At 44.2% G+C, this 26,639-nt stretch overlaps 2 protein-coding genes and 1 long non-coding RNA gene across 3 annotated transcripts in view; 1 reads left to right on the top strand and 2 right to left on the bottom strand.

Annotated features, from left to right (window-relative positions):
* Positions 1-6,106: 6,106 nt before the first annotated feature.
* LELP1 (late cornified envelope like proline rich 1) lies at positions 6,107-7,797 on the bottom strand. The gene is made up of 2 exons (NM_001010857.3): positions 7,696-7,797; positions 6,107-6,540 (listed from the first exon to the last, which is right to left on the bottom strand). Exon 2 carries the CDS (start codon positions 6,517-6,519, stop codon positions 6,223-6,225), a length of 297 nt encoding a protein of 98 aa, NP_001010857.1. The 5' UTR covers positions 6,520-6,540; positions 7,696-7,797; the 3' UTR covers positions 6,107-6,222.
* A 151-nt stretch (positions 7,798-7,948) lies between these two features.
* SPRR2G (small proline rich protein 2G) overlaps positions 7,949-26,639 on the top strand; it is a 53,697-nt gene continuing 35,006 nt past the window's right edge. The window contains exons 1-4 of the mRNA XM_017002177.2: positions 7,949-8,389; positions 14,339-14,477; positions 15,624-15,928; positions 17,051-17,348. The gene's annotated coding sequence lies outside the window, so the exon portion shown is untranslated. The remainder of the gene's footprint in view (positions 8,390-14,338; positions 14,478-15,623; positions 15,929-17,050; positions 17,349-26,639) is intronic.
* The window catches only part of LOC101928009 (uncharacterized), a 17,159-nt gene continuing 10,070 nt past the window's right edge, over positions 19,551-26,639 (bottom strand). The window contains exon 3 of the long non-coding RNA NR_110685.1: positions 19,551-21,148. This is a non-coding gene — a long non-coding RNA (uncharacterized LOC101928009). The remainder of the gene's footprint in view (positions 21,149-26,639) is intronic.

Below are 26,639 nucleotides of genomic sequence, written 5' to 3'. Positions count from 1 at the left end.
CGGCAATATGAGCATCTCCTTCTGGCTCCTACTGTGGGCCCAACCTGGGAATGGGGTGGTGAGGTGGCCCCTAACTCTACTTGCCTTCAGAGATATTTGTCATCCTTTTGTGGAACTCCCTGTTTCTCCCTCAAATGCACTGCTTCTCACAACAGATAGCAGGAAGCTTTTGCTGCAGTAGGTGATGAGTTGTGACTCCGAGTGTGTACATAGATACTAGAGTACTGTTGGCATCTTGGCTTCCTAAGTTCAGTTGCCCACACTAGGGGCTTGATATAAGTTATCTGACTTCATCACCCCACCTTGCCCCTTGGTGAGACTTTTCTTCTCATTCCTCAGGTGAAGAGCTCCCTTCTCCCACTGAGGCGAAGCATTTTGCCCGGCTCCACAGCTGGCTGGTGCAGTGCTTGCTTGGAGCCCATGTCTGTAGGATGCCAAGCCCTTTCCCTTTCCTTGCTGCTGCCCGAGGTGAGGGACCCACATGGAGGTAGACTGCATCTTCCTGGCAAGGCATTAGGAGGGCTGGCAGGATCTGTATCTTGTGGCTGAAGGGGAAAGTGGCCAAGGACAAGACTGCAACAAGGGCCAGGGCTGCCTTTCAGCCCCAGGCCATTCATGCTGAGTCCCCTTCCCCTCTCCCCGCTGTCGCATTCTGGGGATAACTCCATGCCACGAGATTAAGGAGCACAGTGGACAGGGGCTCAGTCCAGAGCAATCCTCTCTTGTTTGGGAAAGTGGCTCTGCAGCCTCTGAGCATCCAATCATTGGTTATTACTGCATGTCAGCGATGCATGCCCGGCTGCCCCTTCTCAAAGGGCAGGCTGGTGGGAGAGTCAGGTTACGAACACGTGGCCAGAATGTGAAGTGATAAGGGGAGGAAGGCATGGAAGCTCTGAGACCACAGAGTGGGGCATCTAACCAGTTTGGGGGTGGGATGTGGGGAAGATTTTTGGAGCAGGTGACCCCTGAGTTGACTTAAAGGATGAGGATTTGCCCAGGAGGATCATTCAGAGGAAGATTCAGTGGAGGCAGAGCAAATGATAGAGAAGGGGGTGTAAAGTCACAAAGGCCAGAGACTCTGTGTTGTGTGCCAGGAAATGCCAGCAGTTACCTGTTACTGGGCTGTAAAGTTCTAGAAGGAGATGGAGAAATGGCCTTATGGCTAGAGAAGGAGTCAGGGGCTTGATTCTGAAGGCTTTTGCATGACAGAATGTTATTTGAGCTGCCCTCTAGGCAAAGGGGAGACTCAAGGATTTTAAGCAAGGACATCATGTATAAATTTGAATTTTAGCAAGACTGCCTTGGCTGGCTTCCACTGGAGTAAGAACTGGAGGAAGGTGAACTTCGAAAGCCAGTTAGGAGGGTTGAATGGTGTAGGTGAGAGATGATGAGCACATTTCTGGGAAAAAGCCATGACTCCTTAGTCTGAGAAGAGTTTCCTTTGAGCCTGGGAGGGAGCATATAGCTCTGGAGATGAGACATATGAGATTTCCTGCACTTGGAAGACAGGTACAGCTGAAAATATCCTGGTATGCATTTTACCATCAGTTTGTATTTTAAAATCTTTATGTGTTTGGCAAACGGCTGAGTGTTTTTACTGATCTCTTTGCTGAGCATCAACCGCTGTGACATGGAAGCAGTTATGACTTATCACTAATAAAGCCTTCTAGAATTTGCCTGTGCTCGTGTGCTGAGCTGCAATCTTGGTCCTGTGGGAACAGGACAGGAAAAATAGGACGTTTGGTAACTGGTTACTTCCTCCCCTCTCCCCAGTTGGCATTCATGCATGGAGTGGAGGATGCAGGAAAAAGATCTCTAAGGTTCCTTTCAGCTTCAAAGCCAGACAACCCCGAGGTTCTGTGCCCAGCCCTCACAGCGCCAGCCCACCTCACAGCCAGTTGCCTGATTTGGGAGGGCTTAGAAGCCCTTTTAGAAGGCTAGCTGTACTCTGCCTGATTCTCAAGAAAGCACAAGGCAAAGGGGTCTGTGGTGGAGGCTCCTTTTGTGACCATCTTAATGGATCCTCAGAACTGCTTTGTCATGAAGGGAGAGGCCTTGGTCCTGCCTGTCTTGTTATCTGGGAGCCATCGAGCCTGGTGCTGCACAGATTCTTGTGATGCCACTCTTCAGGCGTTGCTTATTTATACAGCCCTCTACTGTTTGGGGCAGAACCCTGGTGACTGCCGCTGGGGCTGGGAGTAATTATGGGATTCTGCAGGGAGGTGGCACCCTCATCATGTCCCAACCATTTCCCCAGAATTGCCTTTGATCCAGCTTTTTTTTGGGAAAGTAGCCATTAAGAGATGTCTATCTTGGCCGGGCGCAGTGGCTCTTCTGTCCCTCCTCCTTTTTGACTTCCTGTGAGGTAGAAAGGTTTTCCACCTGTTACCCACAGCTGAAGGGGTTTCCACCTGTTACCACAGTCCCCAGTGCTCTATACGAGACTTTCCCAGCACTTTGGGAGGCCAAGGCGGGCGGATCACGAGGTCAGGAGATCGAGACCATCCTGGCTAACATGGTGAAACCCCGTCTCTACTAAAAATACAAAAAATTAGCCAGGTGTGGTGGTGGGCACCTGTAGTCCCAGCTACTCTGGAGGCTGAGGCAGGAGAATGGCGTGAACCCGGGAGGCGGAGCTTGCAGTGAGCCGAGGTCGCGCCACTGCACTCCAGCCTGGGCGACAGAGCAAGACTCCATCTCAAAAAAAAAAAAAAAAAAAAAAAAAAAAGAAGAGATGTCTATATTTGGTTCCGTTTACATGGGAGAAACAAGACCTAAATTGGAAATGAATGGTTTCATGTTCCCAGAGCTGCCTCCTTTCAGGCTGTGCCCAGAGTTTGCAGAACCACCTGGGAGGGCACAGCCCCCTGACGCGTACTGCCTGGCCTGGGACTGAGATCCTGCCCCTGGAGGGAAGGCATCCACGGCGAGGTGCCTTCGATGTGGTGCATACTTCCTAAGACATTCTTCCTTCCCTGTGTTTGTACATTGAGTAAAATAAAGGACTTTGGGGGTCTCTGAAGTAGTCATGATTATTTCATAAATTGTTGATTATTTCATGATTACTTCTTTTTTAACCCATCATGAAACAAAAACATGTGAAAATCCAGATTAAAATAGAAATAAACTACTAGTTACCTATATCCCCATTGTCTTAAAATAATGAGAATATCTACACATTTCCTTTTGTTATTATTATTACCATTATTATCAAGGAAGGTTTTGGTTAAAGATAATGGCTTTACGTTATATTTTCAATTGAGGCCTTACTTTCTTTAATTCATTTTAATGTATTAAATTAATTTAATACATTGAATAGGTTAATACATTAAAATTAAATAAATTAAAATTTATTTTAATGTTTTAAAATTATTAAATTTAATGTAATGAATTTATTAATGTATTATTAAATTTAATGTCTTAAAACAATGTTTCATCATATAATAGGTTCAAGTTTACTTAATCAAACCTTGTTAGATATTTAAATTGTTTCTAAGTTATGCTGTGATAATCACCTTTATTTATATAGCTCCCCTACCCACCATTTTGCAATTTTTTTTTTGAATAGGTTCTATGAAGTGGACCCATTGGGCCAAAGAGTTGAAGCATCTAATGCTTCTGATGATACATATTCCCACATTCCTTGAATTGTTTTCTAAAAGGATTTTTGTCTATTTATATTCCCACCAACTGTAGTACACTCTTTAGCACTGGGTTCAGGATTTATTATTTAAAAGTGACCATTTAATAGAGGATGGTCTGTTGACCATGGATGAAGACGCCATGTTATTGTTCTATTATCTCTCTCTCTCTCTCCCTTTCTTCTGTCCTTCCTCCTTTTTGACTTCCTGTGAGGTAGAAGGGTTTTCCACCTGTTGCCCACAGCTGAAGGGGTTTCCACCTGTTACCACAGTCCCCAATGCTCTAAACTAGACTTTCAGAGGCTCCTGGCATCCAGTGAGTGCCTCTCTGCAGGGATCTAGAGTATGGGAACCTCAGTGCCTCAGAAGACCCTGAGACCTCAAGGTCTCCTCATGTCACACCTGGAAAACAAGGGGGCGGTGCCTTAAATGTTCCGCCTACTTCACGTATTCTAAAAGCCTGCTCTGTCACCAGCTGACTGTACAGACTCAGGCTGGTGGGGTCCCAGTTATTTTTTCTTTGACACATTTTGGACTCTCTATACTTGCCAAACCCTTCGCTGTCTGAACCATCCTTCAGGCTCAGAAGGATGAGAGCTAGTTTTGTGTAATGGTTCCATAGGGAGCCATCCCAGATTTGGCTCTTCAGTTATCTATTACGATGATAGCAGGGAATCCTTAAATGCTGTTCACTGTATCGCTGCTTATGTGCAGTGCACCGAAACAATTCACAACTGGTTTGTCTGTGCGTCAAAGCTCTGTCATCTGCTTGGCCACGGGGCATGCTCGTGACCTTCTAGGCAATCAGGTTCCTCTCCTGGTGAAAATAGGAATATCCTTGTGCCCAACCTGTCAACAAGCTGGGTATGCAACTGGCCCAGGACCTTACTGAATGGCGGGGTGGGGGGCACTAGGAGAGGATGGGACATATTCTGAGGCATTGTAGAGGCTGGCGAGATGAGAGTGGCTGAGATGGTGAGTGGGTCCCTGATCCCAGGCCTTGAAGTCTTGATTCCTACAGTTCTCCCTTTAATCCTATGCCCTGTTCCCAAACCCTTCTCGGCATGAGCTGATAAATTCTGTTTTGTGAATTAAGCTAGTTTGACACGGACTTTCTCTAACTACTTGTAAATAATCTCCACTAACACATCAGCTATGAAGGCTTTCCCTATTCATTCCTAATTGAGGTCCCAGATATGTACAATATCTAGTTTTTTGTACTTAAGTTTTTATTTTGAAATTTTATAGATTCACAGAGTGTTGCAAAAATAGAGGTTTCATGTACCCTTCACTGGGATTCTTCCACTAGTGACATGTTATGTAACTATAGTTCAGTATTAGAGCCAGGTAACAGATAGTGGTATAATCTGTAACTCCTTTTTGAATATTTTTAAAAGAATGTCTAACTGTATGCTTACAGATGTCAAAGCCTGACTCCTGTGGTCAGGAGATTTACAGGCTAAGAAGAATTACACAAAGCAATGAAGTTCAGGTGTGATGAGTGTTACACTGCGGTGGGTGTGGGGTGCTCCTTCACCAACTCACTATGTCCCTGTAAACCTGGCACTTGGCATTTGTTAACTCTTTTTTTTTTTTTTTTTTTTTTTGAGATGGAGTCTCGCTCCTCTCATGCAGGCTGGAGTGCAGTGGTGCGATCTCGGCTCACTGCAACCTCCATCTCCTGGGTTCAAGTGATTCTCCTTCTTCAGCCTCCCGAGTAGCTGGGATTACAGGCGTGTGCCACGCCCAGCTAATATTTGTATTTTTAGTAGAGACGGGGTTTTGCCATGTTGGCCAGGTTGGTCTCGAACTCCTGACCTCAGGCGATCCACCTGCCTCGGCCTCCCAAAGTGCTAGGATTACAGGCATGAGCCACTGTGCCTGGCCTGGCGTCTGTTAATTCTTTAGCCTCACAACAACTTCATAACAGCAGTACTGTTAGCATCATCATTCCTTTTGCAAAGAGAGGAAAACTGAGACACAAAGAAGTTAAGCAACTTGCCTAAGGTTACAAGGTGTTAGGGAGCAGAGATAGAGTTGCATTAAACCCATGCAGCCTGTACTGAGAGCCCTTCTGCATAAGCATTATGCAACAGGACTAACAGAAAAGTAGTACAATGCCTTTTCCTGAGCCTTCCTGGACCTTTCACCAATATTCTACTCCTCTTTCTCCCTCATACCATCTCTTTCCTGCTTCCTGGCGTTAGACGCTTTCACAGCTGCAACCATATTTATGGATCTCTCAGGCTTTGCTCTAACACAGCCTGGCATTACCTGGGTACACCCTTCAGAAGTGGGCACCTGCCTCTAAGCAGCAGGTGGGGTCAGAGGGAAAGTCAGTTCTCAAAGGTTGTTGAGAGTGCAGGGTTCTAGCCTCACTTCTCAGGGATTGCTTGTTGGTGGTTTAGTGCTGTAAAACAACAAACAAAACAAATCAAAACCCACCAGAAACACCAGGAGAAGTCTTGCACAGCAGAGGAACACGTTTACTTGTCAGTTCATGGTTTCAGTCTCCAGCCCCACAGCGTTGTACATGGTGGAGGTGGCAGTGGTGGTGGGGTTGGGTAGTGCCCACAGTGCCTCACTCTGGGGGAGGGCAGGGAGGTGGGCAAGCATGTGGGCAGGATGAAGGGCATTTAGGAGGACAGGGCTTGGTGCAGGGCTGGGGAGGGCAGGATGAAGGAGACTGCGAGGGGCAGGGCAGGCACTTGGGTGGTGCTGGACACTTTTCCCATGGGCACTTTTCGAAACAGCGTTGCAGCAGCTTCTTTAAACAGCTGGGCTGGCATTTGGACTCACACTTTTGTTCACACTTGGGATCGCAGTTCTTGGGCTCAGTCTTGGGGTCATTTGATTTACTTTTATCATCACTCGACATTGTTTCTTGATTATCTGAGCCCTGCAAAGAAATATGAGATGCATTGTAGGTGGGAGAGGATACCTACAGGCTTCTTACAGCTTATCCTTGTACTTAAGAAAGTCTTCCCTGAGATGCATTCAGGCTCTAGATCATCTTCTCATTTAGGGCCGCCCTCATCCTTGTATGAGTTTGAGATAGCATTTCTTAATCTCTCCACCCTTAACTCTGCTTCCTTTTCACTTATTCTTGCTTCCATGCTATAGACTCTAGTAGGAGTTCTTAACCTATGGTTTTGGACCCCCCACCTCCCCCACCCCACTGAAACTGTATTTCAGTAGAGTTGGTGTCTCTGTAACTCCATATGTTGTATTTAATTCATTTAGAAACATGATTCCAAGGAGTCCCTAAGTTTGACCAGATTGCTCAAGGCATTCATGGCACAATAGAAGTTTCGCTCCTCTAAGGCCACTTCCTGTTCCTCTGAAGATAGATGGGAGGTACACTAGCAGACTTGGGGGCCTAGGACACTGCTTTCAATCCTGTGTCCCACCTAAGTTCCCTGAACCTTGAGAATTGCTTTCTTTACTAGAGGCCATGGGAGGGAAAGTAATTTAATCCCTGCCATGAGTGGGTTCCCATGGGCTACTCTAGAACTGCCCACTCCTTTGTCTCCATCCAGGTTCTGATAAATAATAGGGTAAGGGAAGAAATCAGGAGATGAACCACGAAATTCCAATTTCTCTGAAAATCTGAATGATAGAGCCACAAAATGTGATTTTCAGAAGGGAATTCCTTTTCTCTCCTGTTGAGTTTTGCCCTGAGCTAGGCATTTCTGCACGGACAGTTTAACTCCTAGATATGGACAGGGATTTTCAGTCCCTCACAATACTTCAAGTTGGATCTAATTGGTTATATTTCTTTGATTTCTTTTAACAATATAAAAATAACATTTTAAATTTTGTTTTAAAATCAGTATAGCTCTCTGGGGAGGCATATTATTAAGTTGAACTCTAAAATTGTTGAGACTCTATTCCAAGGTGAAGCACACACCAGTTCTTACCACTGAAAATAACAGGAAACTTTCATTCAAACATGACTTTCCCAACCCTGCTCAGTGCGTGGGGTACTTCAGGTCACTCCCAGGGTAGAAGAGGCCAAAGAGTGGCCACTTCCACCTGTCCAAATGCAACTTACCCCTCTGTGTTGGTGGTGAACTTGACAAGCAGTTGAGTGAGGTGGATGTTATGGCTGTGCCTGGGAAGGTGGCTTTTCCCTTTGGTTCCTCTGCCCAGATCTGAGGAAGCTGGGGGTGGGGGCAGGGGAAATGACCTCCACTTATGAGGTCATTGCAGCATCATCGAGGGGCAATTGTTGTGTGACTCCATAGCTCCCAGCACAACAAGCCCTGAACACCAGAATAGAGCCATGATGAATCACCCCCCTTGGCTGTCCCACCCCTCCCTAGACCCCTCAACATTCAGGCTGGTAAAATGAGGCTGCAGTGAAGAGTCCTGGGCTCTGAGGATGGGAGGCTCATTGTTGCTGGGAGCAGAAAAGCTGGCCCACTGTTGACACATGGTCTCCAGCTCCTCTTCCACCCTCAAAGTTTAATTCCTCTGAACCTGCTCCTTCCCCACCCTTCTAGGAGAGCAACCCTGAATTGATCACTGCCATTTTGACATTCTTCTTTTCTTTATTTTTCTAATGTGAGATTCTGAAACCTCTTCTTACCACCCCACACAATTGGGTTAGCCCCAGATCCTGCCTTAGGGCACAAAGATTTGCCTCTCAGAATTCCTTCCTTGCCTTTTTTAAAGGCCTGACCAGGGTCTTTGTGGTTGGAATGGGGGTGTGTTAGGAGTGGCGATGGGAGGCTGGAGTGCGAAAGGTGGGTAGGCTTAGACACAGGGTGCCTGAACTCAGGTTTAGGAGGTTCATCGTGGCAGTCATCACGAATGAATCTCTAGTGACTTTTGATTAAAATTGTGACATGATTATGCCTAAGGTATTTAAATATTAGGATGGATTGGGAGATGGGGTGGTGAAGTAAAAGTCGAATGAGACTGTTTTAAAGAAATTATGAAAATCTCCACATCTGAAGGAAGGCAGTCATGGGTCTGGGTGCCCATGAGAAAGACCTCATTAGACAGGTAGATTCATGGGACTTATTTACTGACTGTGCAGAAAATTAAGAATTGAAGATGACTCCAGAGCAAAAGGGCTTCTTCCTAGTGTACTAGAAGGCAATACGATGACACCAGGTTTTTGAGAAAAGAAAAGCTTTTTACTGCAACTAGACCATCAAAGAGACAAGAGTTTAGCTTGAATCTGTCTCCCTGTGCTGGCTTTAAGGCAGTCATTTTATTGGGAAAGGTTAGGGATTAGATTCTGGTATTAGTAGGTGACTGGTGGAAGGAAAAGGGAGGGCTGGAAAAAGTCCTCGGGCATGGGAAGTTATCTCTTCATGCTACCTCATGGGTCACATGTGCAGTTTCGGGGAGGGTCAGTATGAAACATGCAGTGGAAATTTGGCTGTGACATCAGCACGCTTTTTCTGTGCAGACTCCAGTCTGCCAGATTGGCTCCAATGACTTCAGCCAATTTTGTTATCTTACAAATGGAGAGAGTTTCAGCATTTCAGCAAGTTGTTCTTTTTTTAAAATCTACTATCATGTAAACTCAAGAATTTGTATTAGTCACTCGTTTGTTTAACTCTTTGGGACAATGTTTCACCAGGTTTTGGGGTGTTAGTATTACTTTTAATGAGAGCTGAGGAAACAGGGGAACAGATTTGTGCTAAAAGAATATGGGTTTAAGTCTGAGAAGAGTTTAGTTAGAGTCAACCCTCTTGGGTGGTTATTGGAAATATGGCTTTGGCCCTTGGGCCACTGGGGAGACCTGAGGCCTTCAGTTCATTTCAGTTTAACAAGTGTTTATTGAATAGAAGATCATGAGTTGAAGATGGAGAAACCTCATATGGGGTTTATTCACAAGGATAAATAATGCCATATTCAATTAAACCTCAAATGAACCTAAATAAAAGAGGAGAATGGGTTGGGATTTAACCCCCTATCACTGGAATAATTGGCGATAGAGTCATAGTCTTTGTGCAGCTCACTCCTTTCATAAGAATTTCCTCTTTCTTCCATAATATTGTTCATCAGCTCTCTCTCCTCAAAGCTGTTGAGAAGCAGCTCTCACCCCCATCTCAGGAGACCCAGCCTCACCTATGTTCAGCTCTGGACCAAAGCTACCAATCTAGATATGGAGATGGCAGTCATTTGTGACAGCAATGTAAAAAATGTAGTGATTTCTACTAGCCATTGTTATCTTTCTCTTTCTCCTTTCTTCCCTCTCCTATTTCTTGCTCAAGAAGTTCTCAGTGAATCAAAGTATATCAGTCACTGGACTTTCAGTAGGACGTTTGCCCATTATCTTTCCAGTCTTTAAAACCTTCCTCTGTAAAGGTCAGCACTCCTGGCAGTGTTACATTTGGTATCCCAGCTACTAGCCTTACCTTTCACTTAGGGTTTGGTGGCTAAGTGACTTCCTTCGCTGGCTGGAAGGAACTACTACTGAGACGAAACACAGAACAGGCTTCTTAGGCTGCTGGGCCTCCACGAGAGGCTGGAAGAAGAGATAAATGTCAAAGCCCGGCTTGCCTAGATTAGGGTTAGAAGAGGACCCTGAAGTCAGATTTCTGGGTTTAAATCCTGCTTTTGCTAGGCGCGGTGGCTCACACCTGTAATCCCAGCACTTTGGGAGGCTGAGGTGGGCGGATCACGAGGTCAGGAGTTTGAGACCAGCCTGGCCAACATGGTGAAACCCCATCTCTACTAAAAATACAAAAATTAGCAAATTAGCTGGGCGTGGTGGCGCATGCCTGAAATCCCAGCTACTCGGGAGGCTGAGGCAGAAGAATCGCTTGAACCTGGGAGGCAAAGGTTGCAGTGAGCAGAGATCACGCCATTGCACTCCAGCCTGGGCAATAGAGTGAGACTCCGTCTCAAAAAAAAAAAAAAAAATCCTGCTTTCATCCTTTACTTGCTGAACAACTCTTAGTAATTTACTTAGCCATCCAGGTCTCGATTCCTTCATCTATAAAATGATATAATGTCACCATCATCTTAAGATAATATATAACTTATGTCGATTGCTCATAACATGCCAGTCATATTTGCAAGTGCAAAACCTACACCCTCATCCATTACAGTGCCTCACTAGACTCATAGAATTGTAAAGACTGGGGATGCCCTGTATGAAGTACCCCCCAAAAATGTTTGTTATTCATATTAGCTATCGTTTTTTGTCAACGCTGGCCAGGTGTCTTCATTGGTTTGCTGAACCTCTCTCTCTGTGTCTTCATTTCTGTCTCATTCTCTCATTTTCTGGTGTTGGCCCTATAATCCCACTTCTCCAACTCAATATTTTCCTCAGACCCCTTCTCCATAGCATTTTTTTCCCCTGCCTTCCAGCCAAAGCTCCTGGTGGCGTTCACAGTAAGATTAGATATTTTAATGTTAACTATTAACGGATGATTTCACTTTTGAGTAGGAAGGGTTGATATCAATGTTATTGATAAAAGATAGTAACTTAATTTAGGCCAAAAAAGTCACTGGGCCATTCAGTGGTTCCTCTCTGTGTGTGTCTGAAGGCCCTGTATGTCTGCATATTGTATCAGCCCAGGGACATGCTATGTATCAGCAATTTTAACTCCATTAGAATCTCCCTCGCTGCTTTTTTGGCAAAGTATTTCTATTTTTTTCCATGCCTTTTTCTATCTCTCTGTGTAATTCTTGTTGAACAAGCAGAACCTGCATGATGGTCAGAAAGCAACTCTATTTCTTCTCTTGATGCCTCTTAAAACCCTCTCTGTGGGGCTGGCTCTTCCCTTTCTCTTGGAATGAAATCTCTAGCAGATGCCCTTGACTTTTAGAATCATGCTAAGAAATCGCATGATTTCTTACTTCTATTTATATAAAAATAACTTCTATTTACATAAAAAAAATCTTATTTCAGTAATCAGAAGGTCTTTCCTTGAATGTTGGATTTCCTTCTCTTTCCTACTTGGTACTACTGCAGGAAGGAAGGCTGCACAGGAAAGAAGAGTATCTTCTCTATTAGCTACTAGAAGTTTTTAATTTTCTTCCCTTGCTCACCCAGCTGCCTCTTGTCCATTTGGGTAGGGGCTGCAAAGGAATGAGAAAGAAAGACCTGAAAACTTTGTGAACTGGCATAGGAGCTTTCTGGGCTTGGCAGGTGCTTATGGCTGACCTTTCTCCCGTGGAGAACTTGAATGTGTCCTTCACAGACTCTCCTCTCCCTGCTGGCTGGGTGTTGGCCACAGTTCTTTAGTATAACAGGCATGTCTGCTTTGTCTAGCTGTGCATGGCTCCTGTAGCGCCTAGGCATTGGCAAGCTCTCCTACAGCTTCTCTTGGCTGGTATTCCTCATCTTCACCTCTTGGACAGGATTTTAGACCACCTGGACAGCCAGTTTTCCCTCCCTTATGGCTCATATCTGGCCCATGGGAACCAGATATACATCCTCCCCTTTCACTGTTTATCAATCACCATTGCGTAAGTTTTTCTTGATATTTGTGTATTTTTGCTCATTCATTATATAAAGGGGGAAGAATGTTCTACGAAATCCTCATGGACATGGTTCAGGGTTTATCCTATTTGACTTTACTGCAGTAATTGTTACAGTTGTGTCCTATATTTTAACCCTCTTCCCTTTTGGTCCTCTGTGACATGGGTAGACTCCCACTTACAGCCTCATCTACTCTCCTTCCCGAGCCCTTTCTCCTCTGTTGAATCCTTTCAACATCACCTGCACCTTCATTTTTCACCCTTGCTGCTGATATTATTATCCACCATTGCTGAAAGTACCAGCTCTGCATAGAGAATCCCAAAGCCCACCCTCTTCCCTGAGCTTTAGGTCCCAATACTAACATCCATTGGATGTACTTTGGTACCTCAAGCTGATTTTACAAAATCAGAGTTCAACACCTTCCACATTTTTCCTAACATGCCCCTCTTGCTCCTCTTATGCGCTCCGACTCTGTGAATAGCATCCTGTCCACCAAGACTTAACAAGAAACCTGGGATCATCCCAGACTCTTGCTTCCTACTCAACCTCACACCAAATGTGCTATCAGGATCTGCAGATTCTACCTCCTGAGCCACAGGCTTCTAAGCCAGGGTGTGTTTGGGAGCTGCAGGCACATTTCTCTCAAGTTGGTCCCCCATTCTCTCACAGCCATGGTTGCTGCCTTTATTGTGGCATCATCATCACAGGTCTCCCTGTCTCCAAAGAGTCTCACCACTAATTCAACCCCCACAGCATTGCCGAAGTGAATTTTATAAAACAAAAGCTTAATTTTACTATTGAATTTAAGATGAGGCCCAAGGCTCTTGGTTGGGTCAACAAAACTCTTACTAATCTGGTGTCTACTTTCAGCTCGGTCTTCTACTTTTACCGTAGATTCTGGGGTAAAGCTACTTGCAGTTTCCAAAATATGCTAGACTTTTTTTATTTTTTTAAACTCCGAGTTTTTGCTCTGCCAGCCGAGTCCTCCCTCTCTCCTCCTCAACCTTGAACTCATAGGAAATTCTCCTTGGGCATGATTTCTCTCACCTTCCCAGGCAGTTAGTTGCCTTAGCCAAGCTCATTCTGAAATTTTTATCCCCATATTTTGTAGTTATTTACTTCCTGATCTACTCTCTCACATGATGTAGTGTAGAGATCAGGAACCAATTACTTTTTAAAATCTCTGTTTCTGCAGTGTCCAGTGTGTGTCTTGGCACATGTTGGCCAGGCAATAGTTAATGCTTCTTGTCAATAAGGAGATGGAATAATATTTCAATGGTTTCGCAATTGCTTTTCTCTCTAACTGGAGTATCCCCCTCCTTTTTGCCTTATTGATATTTATTTTTTATCTTCTATATACAATTTGAAAATTCCACCTTCCATGTGGACTGCTCTGGACCCCCACCCTGCTGCAGTTAAGAGATACCATCTCTGAACATGCCTGATGTGCTCCCCATGGATTGACTCCCCACCTGTTCTGCCGGGGGGCAATGCTGTCTTCTGTCTCATACAGTGCCCTAATCCAGGAAAGGGCTTTCTTATTATTCTTTGCATCTTTAGTGCTGGGCCAGGGCCTGACATATAATAGATGCTCAGTGAATATTTGGGAAATAAATGAATGGATATACAAGACAAAGTTCAGCAGGGGAGATAAGAATCAAATAAACTGTCTGTCAGAGGAGGGAGATCCAACTTTATGGAGATGGAGATCTGTTTCTCAGGGTCAGCTTCCAACATGAATATATCTGTATGAGGCCCAGAGATTCCAGGAGGCAGGTACCGCTGGGCTGTGTAGGCTGAAAATCCCAGATCTTGTTGGATTTGTCCAGGATACAGCCGCCATCTGATCCAGGCTCCCAAGCAGAGATGGACTCAAGCTTCAGCGAGTGTCCATCTCCCCTTCCCTGCAGCTAGGGTTTATCTTGCCCTGCACCTCCTCTTCATCCTCCAACATACACACACACACACACACACACACACACACACACACACACACACACATTCTCTGCCTGGTGAGACCCACTTCAGGAGAACTGGGGAGGACACAGGATGGAGTGGACTTGGCAGGGAGGTAGCTGGGCCAGGCACGGTAGGGAAGGATCCTGTGGGTAAATGGGAGTCATTCTCTTGAGTGAAGCTCTACCGGACTCCTCTGTGGAGTCCACATTTTACCTGAGGGCTCCTCCTAAGGTGCCCACCAGGCTTCTGTTTCCTTTTTCCTCCTGTGACACCATCACCTTCCCAGCTACAAGCAAGGGCAATAAACTGGGGGCCCACTGGGGCAGATGTCTTAATGGAGAGAGCAGAGATGAAGAGAAAATCCCTCAGCAGGTTGAGAGTGACTTCTGCAGGCTCAGGGCACAAAGCGAGATCTCTTTGCACAGGTAAGGAAGGCAGTGAAAAGCAGAGACCCATTTCCTTCACTGAGTGTGGGATCACAAAGTCAGGAAATTTGGGGGACATTTTCAGATGATTTGAAGTAGTTCTTGTCAATTTCTTAACCAGCTTTACAAGGTCTTCATATTTTTTAATAAAGTGGGAGGCAGCACTGTGTTTCCCTAATGATCTTCTTTTGCCACAGGAGGCAGCATGGGCTGGAACAGTAGCAGTTGGAATAAGCAGCTTTATCTAATCAAACTTTAGCTAAGATGTGAAAATAACCTAAATGTCCATCAACAGATGAATGAAGAAAATGTGGTATATACACATGATAGAATACTATCCAGCCTTAAAAAGGAAAGAAATTCTGCCTTATTCAACAACATAAATGGCCCTTGAGGACATTATGCAGTGAAATAAGTCAAATACAGAAAGACAAATACTGCATCATTCCACTTACATCAAGTATCTAAAAATAGTCAAATTCATTAAATCAAAGGCTGTAACAGTGGTTACCAGGGACAGGGGGAGGATGAAATGAGTTATTAATCAACAGGCATAAAATAATTAAGTAAGATGAATAAGCTCTAGAGATCTGCTGAAGAACTTTGTACCCATAGTCAACAATATTGCATTGTATTAATACACTTACAATTTGTTAAGAGGATAGAGCTCATGTTAAATATTCTTACCACAAAAATATAAATAAATTTAAAAAGAGGATAAGGAAGGGGAAGGATGGTACACCTGGCCCCCAGGAAGGTCCTGAGTGTACTTTTGTCTAATTCCTGCTGTTTTCTGGGAAGGACCTGGGAGGAGTCACTCACCACCTATGGAGGCCCAGTGGCCTGGGAAGGTCTTCTCCTTGTTGCTCATGAGAGTTGGGGTCTTGTGGGCTGTGGGGTGCTCAGGGTGGGAGCACGAGGGAAGGAGGTGTGTGTGATGAGTGAGATAGAGTCCCCATGCCTCTAGAGGAAAGGAAGAGTCATCTCAGCATGTTCAAAACAGGCTTAGGAGCAGACTGAGGGGTCAGCTCTCTTAGGAGAGGAGGTGATAAATAAATGTTGTAATTGTCTTGATTGAAGCTGAAGGATTGGAAAGAGAAAATTCTTAAGACTTTACCATTGTCTAAAGCAGTTTTTCTTTCTTAGAATTTCGATCATCCTTGCTACTTAAGACCCCCAAAATGGTGGAACCCAGGGGTACAGAGAGCTAAGGAAGGAAAACTCCATACTTGAGATGCCTTCTTGAGCCAGCAGTGGCAGTAGTGGTGGTGGAGGCAACAGTTAGATGAACTGACTGGTCCTGACCACACAGTGTCAAAATAGAGAATGGAGAGCAGGTCTGCTGTTTACCAAAGAAGACCGAAACATGGCCCACGTGTCCAATCCTTGCTTGGAGGAGGAGCCGGGAGGATACCCTTGATGAACTGCTCTCAGATTGTTGGTCTATGAAGGTATCTTTCTCTTTCAGTAGATGAAAGGTAATTTCTGGGCTTTGTGATTCTGGAAGAAAGAGATTGGAGAGGGTGCAGGGAGCAACGTACTGCCTAGATGCTGCGGGGAAGGGAGGCTTCAGAAGAGCCTCTTTGGCTTTGGTGGTATTCCTGTTAGCATGGAGAGGAAGTCCACTTCTGCCAGCTGTGGGGTACAGAGCAGGGCTTGGGGACCCAGAAGGGGACTGGCAGGGGATCTGGCACTGCTGCAGCTGCTGCTAGGTCATCTTTCCTGTGTTGATGATACACTGCAAAAAACAGGAGATAAACTTTTATGCTTTAGTGACAGCAGTGGAGGAGCTTCCTCCTGAATGTTCACATGTGAGATATTCCCTCTCCTCTCCCTAATTCTCCATCCTTGGGGACTAAGACCTTCACTCCCACTCACTCACTGCCATGATCAAAGCCATGGTTGCCTCCATTGGAGCACAGCACTCAGCCAAGGGGAGTATCTCTGGGGCTGCACCAAGGAGCCGATGCCTGCCCATGTCTACTCCAAACTCAGAGGGCTGAGGCTGGTTACGGATGCTGCTGTCTGAGACAATCATTCTCACATTGCAATGATTCAGAAAAAAAGCAAAAAGTTTGGGAAGCACCAAGATAGAGTGCCTGTTAAAAAATGGAAAGTGGAGTAGGGGAGTTTTAGTCTGAGGAAGGAAAAGTTTGGAGGAGGGAGCACAAGCCTGCACATAATTCAAGGCTGTACCTTATGAAGACATGCTCCCAAAAGTTCCAGAGAGTGGGAGCAGCACGTGTGGGTGGAAGTGGCAGGAGGTAAGGAAGAAGTTGCTAACACCCTCTTCTCAGGCCAGTAGCAGCACTTCCTAAGTTTATCAACTGTCTGGCCCAGCAAGTGTTTAATGAAGTGCCAACTAATCTTTTGAAGGCCTTTTGGTGGAGAATAATTTGATGGGAGGCAGGACTAAATGACTTTTAGAATGTCATGCAAATTTTCCTGTGTTTTGATATATTCTATTAATAGTTATGCAGACATTTTGTCTTTTCTCCTATTATTGACTGTTTCTCTTCTTCATCTATGCTATTCCTAGTTACTTTAAAATCTGATCTCTCTTTTTTTTTCAGGAGGTTAATACATGTCAGTTTGACATTGTATCATTGAATCAGAATTGAACATCAGAAAGAGTAAAATTCCCAGGCCTTTTTTACCCTAGCCTGGGTACAAGCTCAAGATGATGCAGAAGGAGGAGCAAAGCATGGGATCCAAGAAAGTTAAGTTCCAGCTCAGGTCGAAGAGAATCATGTCTGTGATCTGTGTCTTTGGTTTCTTCATCTACAGCTGTCATCTTGTGGGCTGGAGCATGGTGGCCAGGAAGTGTGCAAGGGGCTCTGGTGTCCATGCAGCCCTCATAGACCTGAGGAGGTATGATTGCTCTAAGCCCCCAGTGGGGTTCCAGTTTGATAGCTGCCCTGGATGGAGATGTGGGAGTGAGAGAAAGGGATATGGAGGCAGGTCTAATTTACTCAGCAGCACCTCAGGTCTTTGGGACTTCCTGGTGTCTGAGAGGAGACAAGCAGAATGGACTTGCTGAGCTCCTCATCTCCAGGAAACAGTTCTTCTATAAGGATTCCTGGGCTGGGTGTTTAGCATCTTTCATATGCCCCCACCCCAATCCCACCATCTCTTTCGGAGACTTGAAATGAAATCGCTTAACATTAACTCACACCACCTCTAGCTCTGCTCTTTAGGATTAAATGAAGTTTAAAGTCATTGAGCCTCTCCCAGAGGCTAGACCCTGTGTGTGCATATGCATGCCTGTGTCCTCATGTGTGCATGTGTGTGCGTGTGAGTGTGTGTGCATGCACATGTTTGAGGGCAGCATAGGGAATGAAGATACAGAGCAACCTGGACAAATACTCTGCAGTCTAGGCAAGAGTGAGTGTGGTCACTGATGTTGAGGCACAGAGCTAAGTGTGGGGAAATATGGCTGAAGTTTGTTCAGCGTGCTGTGGAAATCCATTTGGATGATCGGTGGGGGTGAGTGGGTCACAGAAAACCTCCTGGGGAGCTGTCACCTCCAGGAATGATGTAGAGGGGATTCTGTCTCTTTCTAGGTCAATGCATATCGACCATCCTGTGGCAGTTTATCCAGTCTTTTGTCCTCTAGCTGCATTTGTTTATCTTATTGGATGTAAGAAAAGCTACATCCTTTTCTTCTCTTCACCACCAAGACTTCCTGGGCTGGTCAGCGGACAAGGAGAAGGTTTACCTAATCTCTCAAAATAAAGAAATGGAAACCTAGTCCTAGTGTGTGCCTCACAAAGGACGCACCTTGTGCTCCTTGCCAAGGCATAGCCCAGGTAGCTCTGATCTTTTGATACCACCAGTTCCCAGGTGGTGGTGCTAGAAACACATCAGTGGTTTGGGGCCGGACAGTGGATGATGGATGGGGGTTCTTACCTACACAGGCAGTAGTGTCAGCTTAAAGTTTATTTAAGAAATTCTGCCTGCTAAACTTAAACAAAAAGACTTTAAGCTGTGGAAATTGTAGAGAAAAATATATTCTACATACCTACAATGCAAAGAGCTTGAGAAAAATTTAGGCCCAGGAGAAGAGTTTAATAACAAGATTTAGAACAAGAACCAGAAGCTCTACTCTTTGTTTCAGTCTGAAATCAACCAGCAGGTACATTCCTGTGCACAGTGAAGGGACCCAGGAACCTATAATCTTGACTAGGCAAAAGGGAAGTGGGTGCAATTTGGGGGGACCTTCCCAATCCTACTATAAAATTAGTTCTTATCCTTTCTCTTCCATCTCCACTCTTGATTGTTCTTGAAATTTTTTATCCTTCAGGTATATTTTTCAATTGACTATGATGTGGTTTTGCCTCCATGGAAATAAGGGAGAGGCTATTGTGTGGCTGGTGGGAGGAGAACTGGGATATAATATGATTAGATTCAAACTTCCATAATCACTGAATATGATTAGCTCCCAAGGAAACTCCTGCCAGTTGCACTTAGGAACCCAAGGAAGAAACCCAGATAGGAACCCAGGAGACATCCTCTGCTCTGCCTTCTTCCTCAGCTTCCACAAGCCTGCACATAATTCAAGGCTGTCCCTTATGAAGACATACATTCAATACATCATCCCACATGCCCTCTGTGCCTAATAGAAGCCCTCGTCAGATCAGCCTAATGGTTCATGCAGCACATGTGTGTCCCCACTGCTGCAGGAGACAACCGAGGAGGCTTCTCTAGTGAGCCTCAGTGTCTTATTCTCTTTGTCTTCAGGTTTTATAAACTAGATGCTTTCTAGCTGTTGTTGTCAATGGTTGTTGAATAATGGTACAGAACTCAATTTAGCAGTGCTAAATTGGTTCTGATTAATGATTATTGAATTAAAGGTCAGAACTTAATTTAGCTGGATAGTTAAACAACAGGCATAAATAAAACCCACAAGTAAGCTGAGACCAAGGAGAATGTCCTCAACCCTTTGAGACTTGTGCTACTGTGGTGTGTTGTGCTCTGAGACCCTGGAGACCTGGCCTACAATCATGCCCTAGACCAGTGGTTGTCAAAGTGTGGTGTGGGAACCTTGGGGTCCCTGAGATGCATTCAGTAGGGTCAGTGAGATCAAAACAATTTTAATCATAATGCTGACATTATTTGACTTTTTTACTCATATTTTTTCATTAGTCTATGGTAGAATTTTCCGGAGAGTAGATGATATGCAATGACATCATCACTCTGCCAGCTAGTGCAATATCTACTTATGTAAAATGTGTTATTTTCTAGTTTTAATTTTTAATACAAGAAATATCAATAGATGTAAATCACATGAATAAAATCTACTTAGGGTCCTTAATAATCTTAAGTGTGTAAATTATTTTCAAGGCCAAGTAGTGTGAGAACTGCTGCAGTAATAACTGTCTCTGGGGTCCATCCCCAACAGACTGGGCTCTGTGCAGAGCCAGGCTCACAATTCTGGTCCCAGATGCTGAGCACTCACACATCTATGAACCTTGCAGGGCCTGTCACATGCTCATCCCTCCTGCAGCCCTGACACTGATGGCTCCTTTGTGTACTCTCCTCACCTTCCTTGCATGGCGAGTCCCTAATCAGAAATGGATAGGTGCCTCATGTAGAGGTGGGTCTGGAGGCAGCTGAAATCAGAGACTGAGACTGGGCAACCAGAGGGAAAAAGAAGACCTTCTGACTTGAACCAGGTCCCCTTGTCACTCTTGGGTGGCCCCTGATTGCCTCTAGGGTCCTTCCAAGGATTTACCATTCAGTCTCCACTTTCCTCCATTTGTCCTTTGTCTCTCTGTGACTTTGTCTCTCTTGACTTTTTTACATCTCCAGCAAAGAGCAGAGACATGACCAGTCAGGGATACATATGTTTGATTGGGAAGCAGAGAGAGAAAAAAAAAACATCATAGGTCTTGGAATAGGTTCAAAGTCCAGAGGAAGGGGTGAGCTTTGTTAGGATTTATGGAGATTATTAGGGAGAAAATACAAACAGACAATGTGATTGTCTTCATCAAAGAATGTGGAGTTGTGCTGTAAAGAATTCTGGCAAATTTTTCATTGATTTAAGCAGTTTTCATGTGTTAATTTTTTTAAACAATGTTTGCTCCTAGAAACGTTAATGAAGTTTTTGAATTCCATTGAGGCAGAGATGTGAATGTTCTGTGTTCTTGCAGGAATCTCATATAGCCAGCAGAAGGCAGTGTGGTAGAGAAGGTAGCCGGTGGAAATATGGCATATTTGGATCACAGGTGGAAGGTTTGAAAACGTGGCACTCTGTCTAAACCATGTTGTCTCCTGGGTGAAAAGCTGGGAGGGGCTGTAGATTCAGGGAGGAGACCCCAGTAGACTATGACAATATCTTCCATCTTGAATCTGAAGACAGGTAGCATCTTCTAGGTTGTGTGGTGGTCCCTATTATTGCTGGAAGTAAGGGGATGGAAGTGGGCGGGGGATGCAGTATCCTCTTGTCCAGGTCAGAGAAGGTGGCTTCTGAGGGTCATTTCTGCTTTGCTGCGCAGTCTTGCTGGCATAAGTGGTATTAACAGCTGGACTTCTACTGTATGAAGGGTGGGAGACAGGGCTCAGGCACCTGGGGAGGACAGGGCTGTGGGACCTGAGTTGGGAGTGGTGCTGGCAGGGGACTTTGCCTTATTTCTGCTGCTGCTAGGAAATTTTCCCTAGTTGAAAGTAAACTGAGAGAAAGAAGAAAGTACTTTAGTATAAGACAACATCAGTGAAGAAGATTATTCCCCAAAATACCACAAGGGAGAAACACCCTCTCTCATCACCCCTTTCTTTAATGTCAGTGACAAGACATCCCCATTGCACTCGCTCCTGAGACTGCCCACCCTACAGGAGGCTTTTGTGGGGCTGCCCCACAGATGGCTAGGAACTGCAGTGTCTGCCCCTCCCAGGAGTTGGTATCGTCCTTTCTTTGACTCTGTGTCCCCTGTTCCTAAGGCATTTTTTCTCCTTACTCATCCCACCTTGGCAACTTCCCTGGACCTTCTGTACTACCCCTATGACTTACAACTTGATCATTACTTCTTCAGGAACATTAGTATCCCTTGTCATGGCCCATCTTATGTGTTAGAATCTGGGAGCATACTAAATTGTATGTTCTGGCAATCTCCCTCATCTCTGCCAGGAAACCCAACTTGAGTAGCCACATAAACAAGTTTCCTTAGTTACTTACATATAAAAAGATGGAAACTATCAACAGATAATATTTTCTATGGTTCTATGAAGTAATTGAAAACAAAAAAGAGACAGCTCTTATAAGTTCATTAAATGTTTCTAATAAAACTTTAAATATAATTATCTATAAAATATAAGTATATTTTATTTGGTAAAATGAACAATAATTATTATTAATCCTAATAAGTATAATGATGTCTGACTTAGAAGAATTTATAAACACAGAGCCTTATAACCATAGGGAATAATAGACAAATATTTCAATTTCAATGTACTTACACATTCTTTCAAAGAGAGTAGTCAATAAATATATTTAAGCATATGTTACACTAAAAATGTCATAAAGAAGTAAAATGGAAATTCAAGTTGAAGTAGAAGAAAACAATATAAAAATTTCAAATGTAAAAGAAAAACTTTGGTGAACCTCTTTCAAGAACATAGATAAAAAATTTCTTAAAGAGAGCTGGCAAGATGACTGAATAGGAACAGCTCTGGTCTGGAGCTCCCAGCAAGACCAACGCAGAAGGCAGGTGATTTCTGCATTTCCAACTGAGGTACCTGGTTCATCTCATTGGGACTGGTTAGACATTGGGTGCAGCCCATGGAGGGTGAGCAGAAGCAGGGTGGGGCGTTGCCTCACCCGGGAAGTGCAAAGGGGTGGGGAACTACCGTCCCTAGCCAAAGGAAGCCGTGAGGGACTGTGCTACCCGGCCCAGATACTACCCATGGTTTTGGCAACCCACAGACCAGGGTATTCCCTCGTGTGCCTACACCATGAGGGTCCTGGGTTTCAAGCACAAAACTAGGTGGCTGTTTGGGCAGACCTTGAGCTAGCTGCAGGAGTTTTTTTTCATACACCAGTGGTGCCTGGTGCCCCAGTGAGACAGAGCTGTTCACTCTCCTGGAAAGGGTGTTGAAGCCAGGGAGCGAAGTGATCTTGATCAGCGGGTCCCATGGAGCCCAGCAAGCTAAGAACCACTGGCTTGAAATTCTTGCTGCCAGCACAGCTGTCTGAAGTTGACCTGGGATTGAGCTTGGTGTGGGGAGGTGTGTCTAGCATTACTGAGGCTTGAGTAGGCCGTTTCCCCTTACAGTGTTAAGGAAGCCAAACTCACCACAGCATGGCAAAGCGGCTGTGGCCAGACTGCCTCTCTAAATTCCTCCTCACTGGGTGGGGCATCTCTGAAAGAAAGGCAGCAGCCCCAGTCAGGAGCTTATAAATAAAACTCCCATCTCCCTGGGACAGAGCACCTGGGGGAAGGGGTGGCTGTGGGTGCAGCTTCAGCAGACTTAAAATTTCCTGCCTGCCAGCCCTGAAGACAGCAGCAGATCTCCCAGCACAGTGCTCAAGCTCTACTAAGGGACAGACTGCCTCCTCAAGTGGGTCCCTGACCCCTGTGCCTCCTGACTGGGAGACACCTCCCAGGAGTGGTCGACAGATACCTCATACAGGAGAGCTCTGGCTGGCATCAGGCAGGTACCCCTGTGGGATGAAACTTCCAGAGGAAGGAGTAGGCAGCAATCTTTGCTGTTCTGCAGCTTCCACTGGTAATACCCAGGCAAACAGGGTCTGGAGTGGACCTCCAGCAAACTCTAGCAGACCTGCAGAAGAGGGGCCTGACTGTTGGAAGGAAAACTAACAAACAGAGAGCAATAACATCAACATCAACAAAAAGGACACCCACTCAAAAACCCCATCCAAAGGGCGTCAGCATTAAAGCTCAAAGGCGGATAAATCCATGAAGATGAGGAAAAACCAGCCCCAAAATGCTGAAAATTCCAAAACCAAGAATGCCTCTTCTCCTCCAAATGATCACAACTCCTCTCCAACAAGGGCATAAAACTGGATGGAGCATGAATTTGATGAATTGACAGAAGTAGGCTTCAGAAGGTTGGTAATAACAAACTCCTCTGAGCTAAAGGAGCATGTTCTAACCCAATGCAAGAAAGCTAAGAACCTTGATAAAAGGCTACAGGAATTGCTAACTAGAATAACCAGTTTGGAGAAGAAGATAAATGACCTGATGGAGCTGAAAAACACAGCACGAGAACTTTGTGAAGCATACACAAGTATCAATAGCTGAATTGATCAAGCAGAAGAAAGGATATCAGAGATTGAAGATCAACTTAATGAAATAAAGCATGAAGACAAGATTAGAGAAAAAAGAATGAAAAGGAACAAACAAAGCCTCCAAGAAATATGGGACTATGTGAAAAGAGCAAACATACGATTGATTGGTGTATGTGAAAGTGACGGGGAGAATGGAACCAAGTTGGAAAACACACTTCAGGATGTTATCGAGGAGAACTTTCCCAACCTAGCAAGGCAGGCCAACATTCAAATTCAGGAAATACAGAGAACACCTCTAAGATTCTCCTTGAGAAGAGCAACCCCAAGACACATAATTGTCAGATTCTCCAAGGTTGAAATGAAATAAAAAATATGTTAAGGGCAGACAGAGAGAAAGGTCAGGTTACCTACAAAGGGAAGCCCATCAGACTAATAGTGTATCTCTGCAGAAACCCTACATGCCAGAAGAGGGTGGGGGCCAATATTCAACATTCCTAAAGAAAAGAATTTTCAACCCAGAATTTCATATCCAGCCAAACTAAGTTTCATAAGTGAAGGAGAAATAAAATCCTTTACAGACAAGCAAATGCTGAGTGATTTTGTCACCCCCAGGCCAACCTTACAAGAGCTCCTGAAGGAAGCACTAAATATGGAAAGGAAAAAATGGTACCAGCCACTGCAAAAAGATACCAAAATATAAAGACCAACGACACTATGAAGAATCTGTATTAACTAATGTGTAAAATAACCAGCTAGCATCATGATGACAGGATCAAATTCACACATAACAATATTAACCTTAAATGTAAATAGGCTAAATGCCCCAATTACAAGACACAGACTGGCAAAGTGGATAAAGAGTCAAGACCCATTGGTGTGTTGTATTCAGGAGACCCATCTCACTTGCAAAGACACACATAGGCTCAAAATAAAGGGATGTAGCAAATAGAAAAAAAAAGAGCAGGGATTGCAATTCTAGTCTCTGATAAAACTGATTTTAAACCAACAAAGGTCAAAAAATACAAAGAAAGACATTACATAATGGTAAAGGGATCAATGCAACAAGAAGAGCTAACTATCCTAAATATATATGCACCCAATACAGGAGCACCCAGATTCATAAAGCAAGTTCTTAGAGACATTCAAGGAGACTTAGACTCTCACACAATAATAGTGGGAGACTTTAACACCCCACTATCAGTATTAGACAGATGAATGAGACAGAAAATTAACAAGGATATTCAGGACTTGAACTCAGGTCTGGACCAAGCAGACCTAATAGACATCTACAGAACTCTTCACCCCAAATCAACAGAACGTACATTCCTCTCAGCACCACAATGCACTTATTCTAAAATTGACCACATAATTGGAAGTAAAACACTCCTCAGCAAATGCAAAAGAATGGAAATTATAACAAACAGTCTCTCAGACCACAGTGCAATCAAATTAAAAGTCAGGATTAAGAAACTCACTCAAAACTGAACAACTACATGGAAACTGAACAACCTGCCCCTGAATGATTACTGGGTAAATAATGAAATTAAGGCAGAAATAAATAAGCTCTCTGAAACCAATGAGGACAAAGGCACAATGTACCAGAATCTCTGGGACACAGCTAAAGCAGCATAAAGAGGGAAATTTATAGCACTAAATGCCTACATCAGAAAGCAGGAAAGATCTAAAATCGACACCCTAACATGATAGCTAAAAGAACTAGAGAAGCAAGAGCAAACAAATTCAAAAGCTAGCAGGAGACAAGAAGTAACTAAGATCTGACCAGAACTGAAGGAGATAGAGACATGAAAAACCCTTCAAAAAAATGAATCCAGGAGCTGGTTTTTTGAAAAGATTAACAAAATAGATAGACTGCTAGCCAGACTAACAAAGAAGAAAAGAGAGAAGAATCAAACAGACACAATAAAAAATGATAAAGGGGATATCACCACTGATCCCTCAGAAATACAAACTACCATCAGAGAACACTATAAACACCTCTACGCAAATAAACTAGAAAATATAGGAGAAATGGATGCATTCCTGGACACATTACACACTCCCAAGTCTAAACCAGGAAGAAGTCGAATCCCTGAGTAGACCAATAACAAGTTCTGAAATTGAGGCAATAATTAATAGCCTACTAACCACAAAAAAAAAAAAAAAGCCCAGGACCAGAAGGATTCACAGCCAAATTCTACCAGAGGTACAAAGAGGAGCTGGTACCATTCCTTCTGACACTATTCCAAACAATAGAAAAAGAGGGAATCCTCCCTAAATCATTTTATGAGGCCAGCATCATCCTGATACCAAAACCTGGCAGAGACACAACAAAAAAAGAAAATTTCAGGCCAATATTCCTGATGAACATCGATGTGAAAATCCTCAATAAAATACTGGCAAACTGAATCCAGCAGCACATCAAAAAGCTTATCCACCACAATCAGGTCAGCTTCATCCCTGGGATGCAAGGGCAGTTCAACATACGCAAATCAATAAATGTAATCCATCACATAAACAGAACCAATGATAAAAACCACATGATTATCTCAATAGATGCAGAAAAGGCCTTCAATAAAATTCAACACCCCTTCACGATAAAAACACTCAATAAACTAGGTATTGATGGAGCATATCTCAAAATAGTAAGAGTTATTTATGACAAACCCATAGCCAGTATCATACTGAATGTGCAAAAACTGGAAGGATTACCTTTGAAAACCTGCACAAGACAAGTATGCCCTCTCTCACCGCTCCTATTTCAACATAGTATTGGAAGTTCTGGCCAGGGCAATCATGCAAGAGAAAGAAATAAAAGGCATTCAGACAGGAAGAGGGGAAGTCAAGTTGTCTCTGTTTGCAGATGACATGATTGTATATTTAGAAAACCCCATTTTCTCAGCCCAAAAACTCCTTAA

This window comes from Homo sapiens, chromosome 1, assembly GCF_000001405.40.
Source record: "Homo sapiens chromosome 1, GRCh38.p14 Primary Assembly".
Lineage (NCBI taxonomy): Eukaryota > Metazoa > Chordata > Mammalia > Primates > Hominidae > Homo > Homo sapiens.
Note: the sequence above shows the minus strand (reverse complement) of the source record. Positions and strands in the feature narration are given on the sequence as shown.

Excerpts from the sequence above, each read along its gene's own strand:
- LELP1 (NM_001010857.3), bottom strand. The coding sequence starts at position 6,519 with ATGTCGAGTGATGATAAAAGTAAATCAAATGACCCCAAGACTGAGCCC.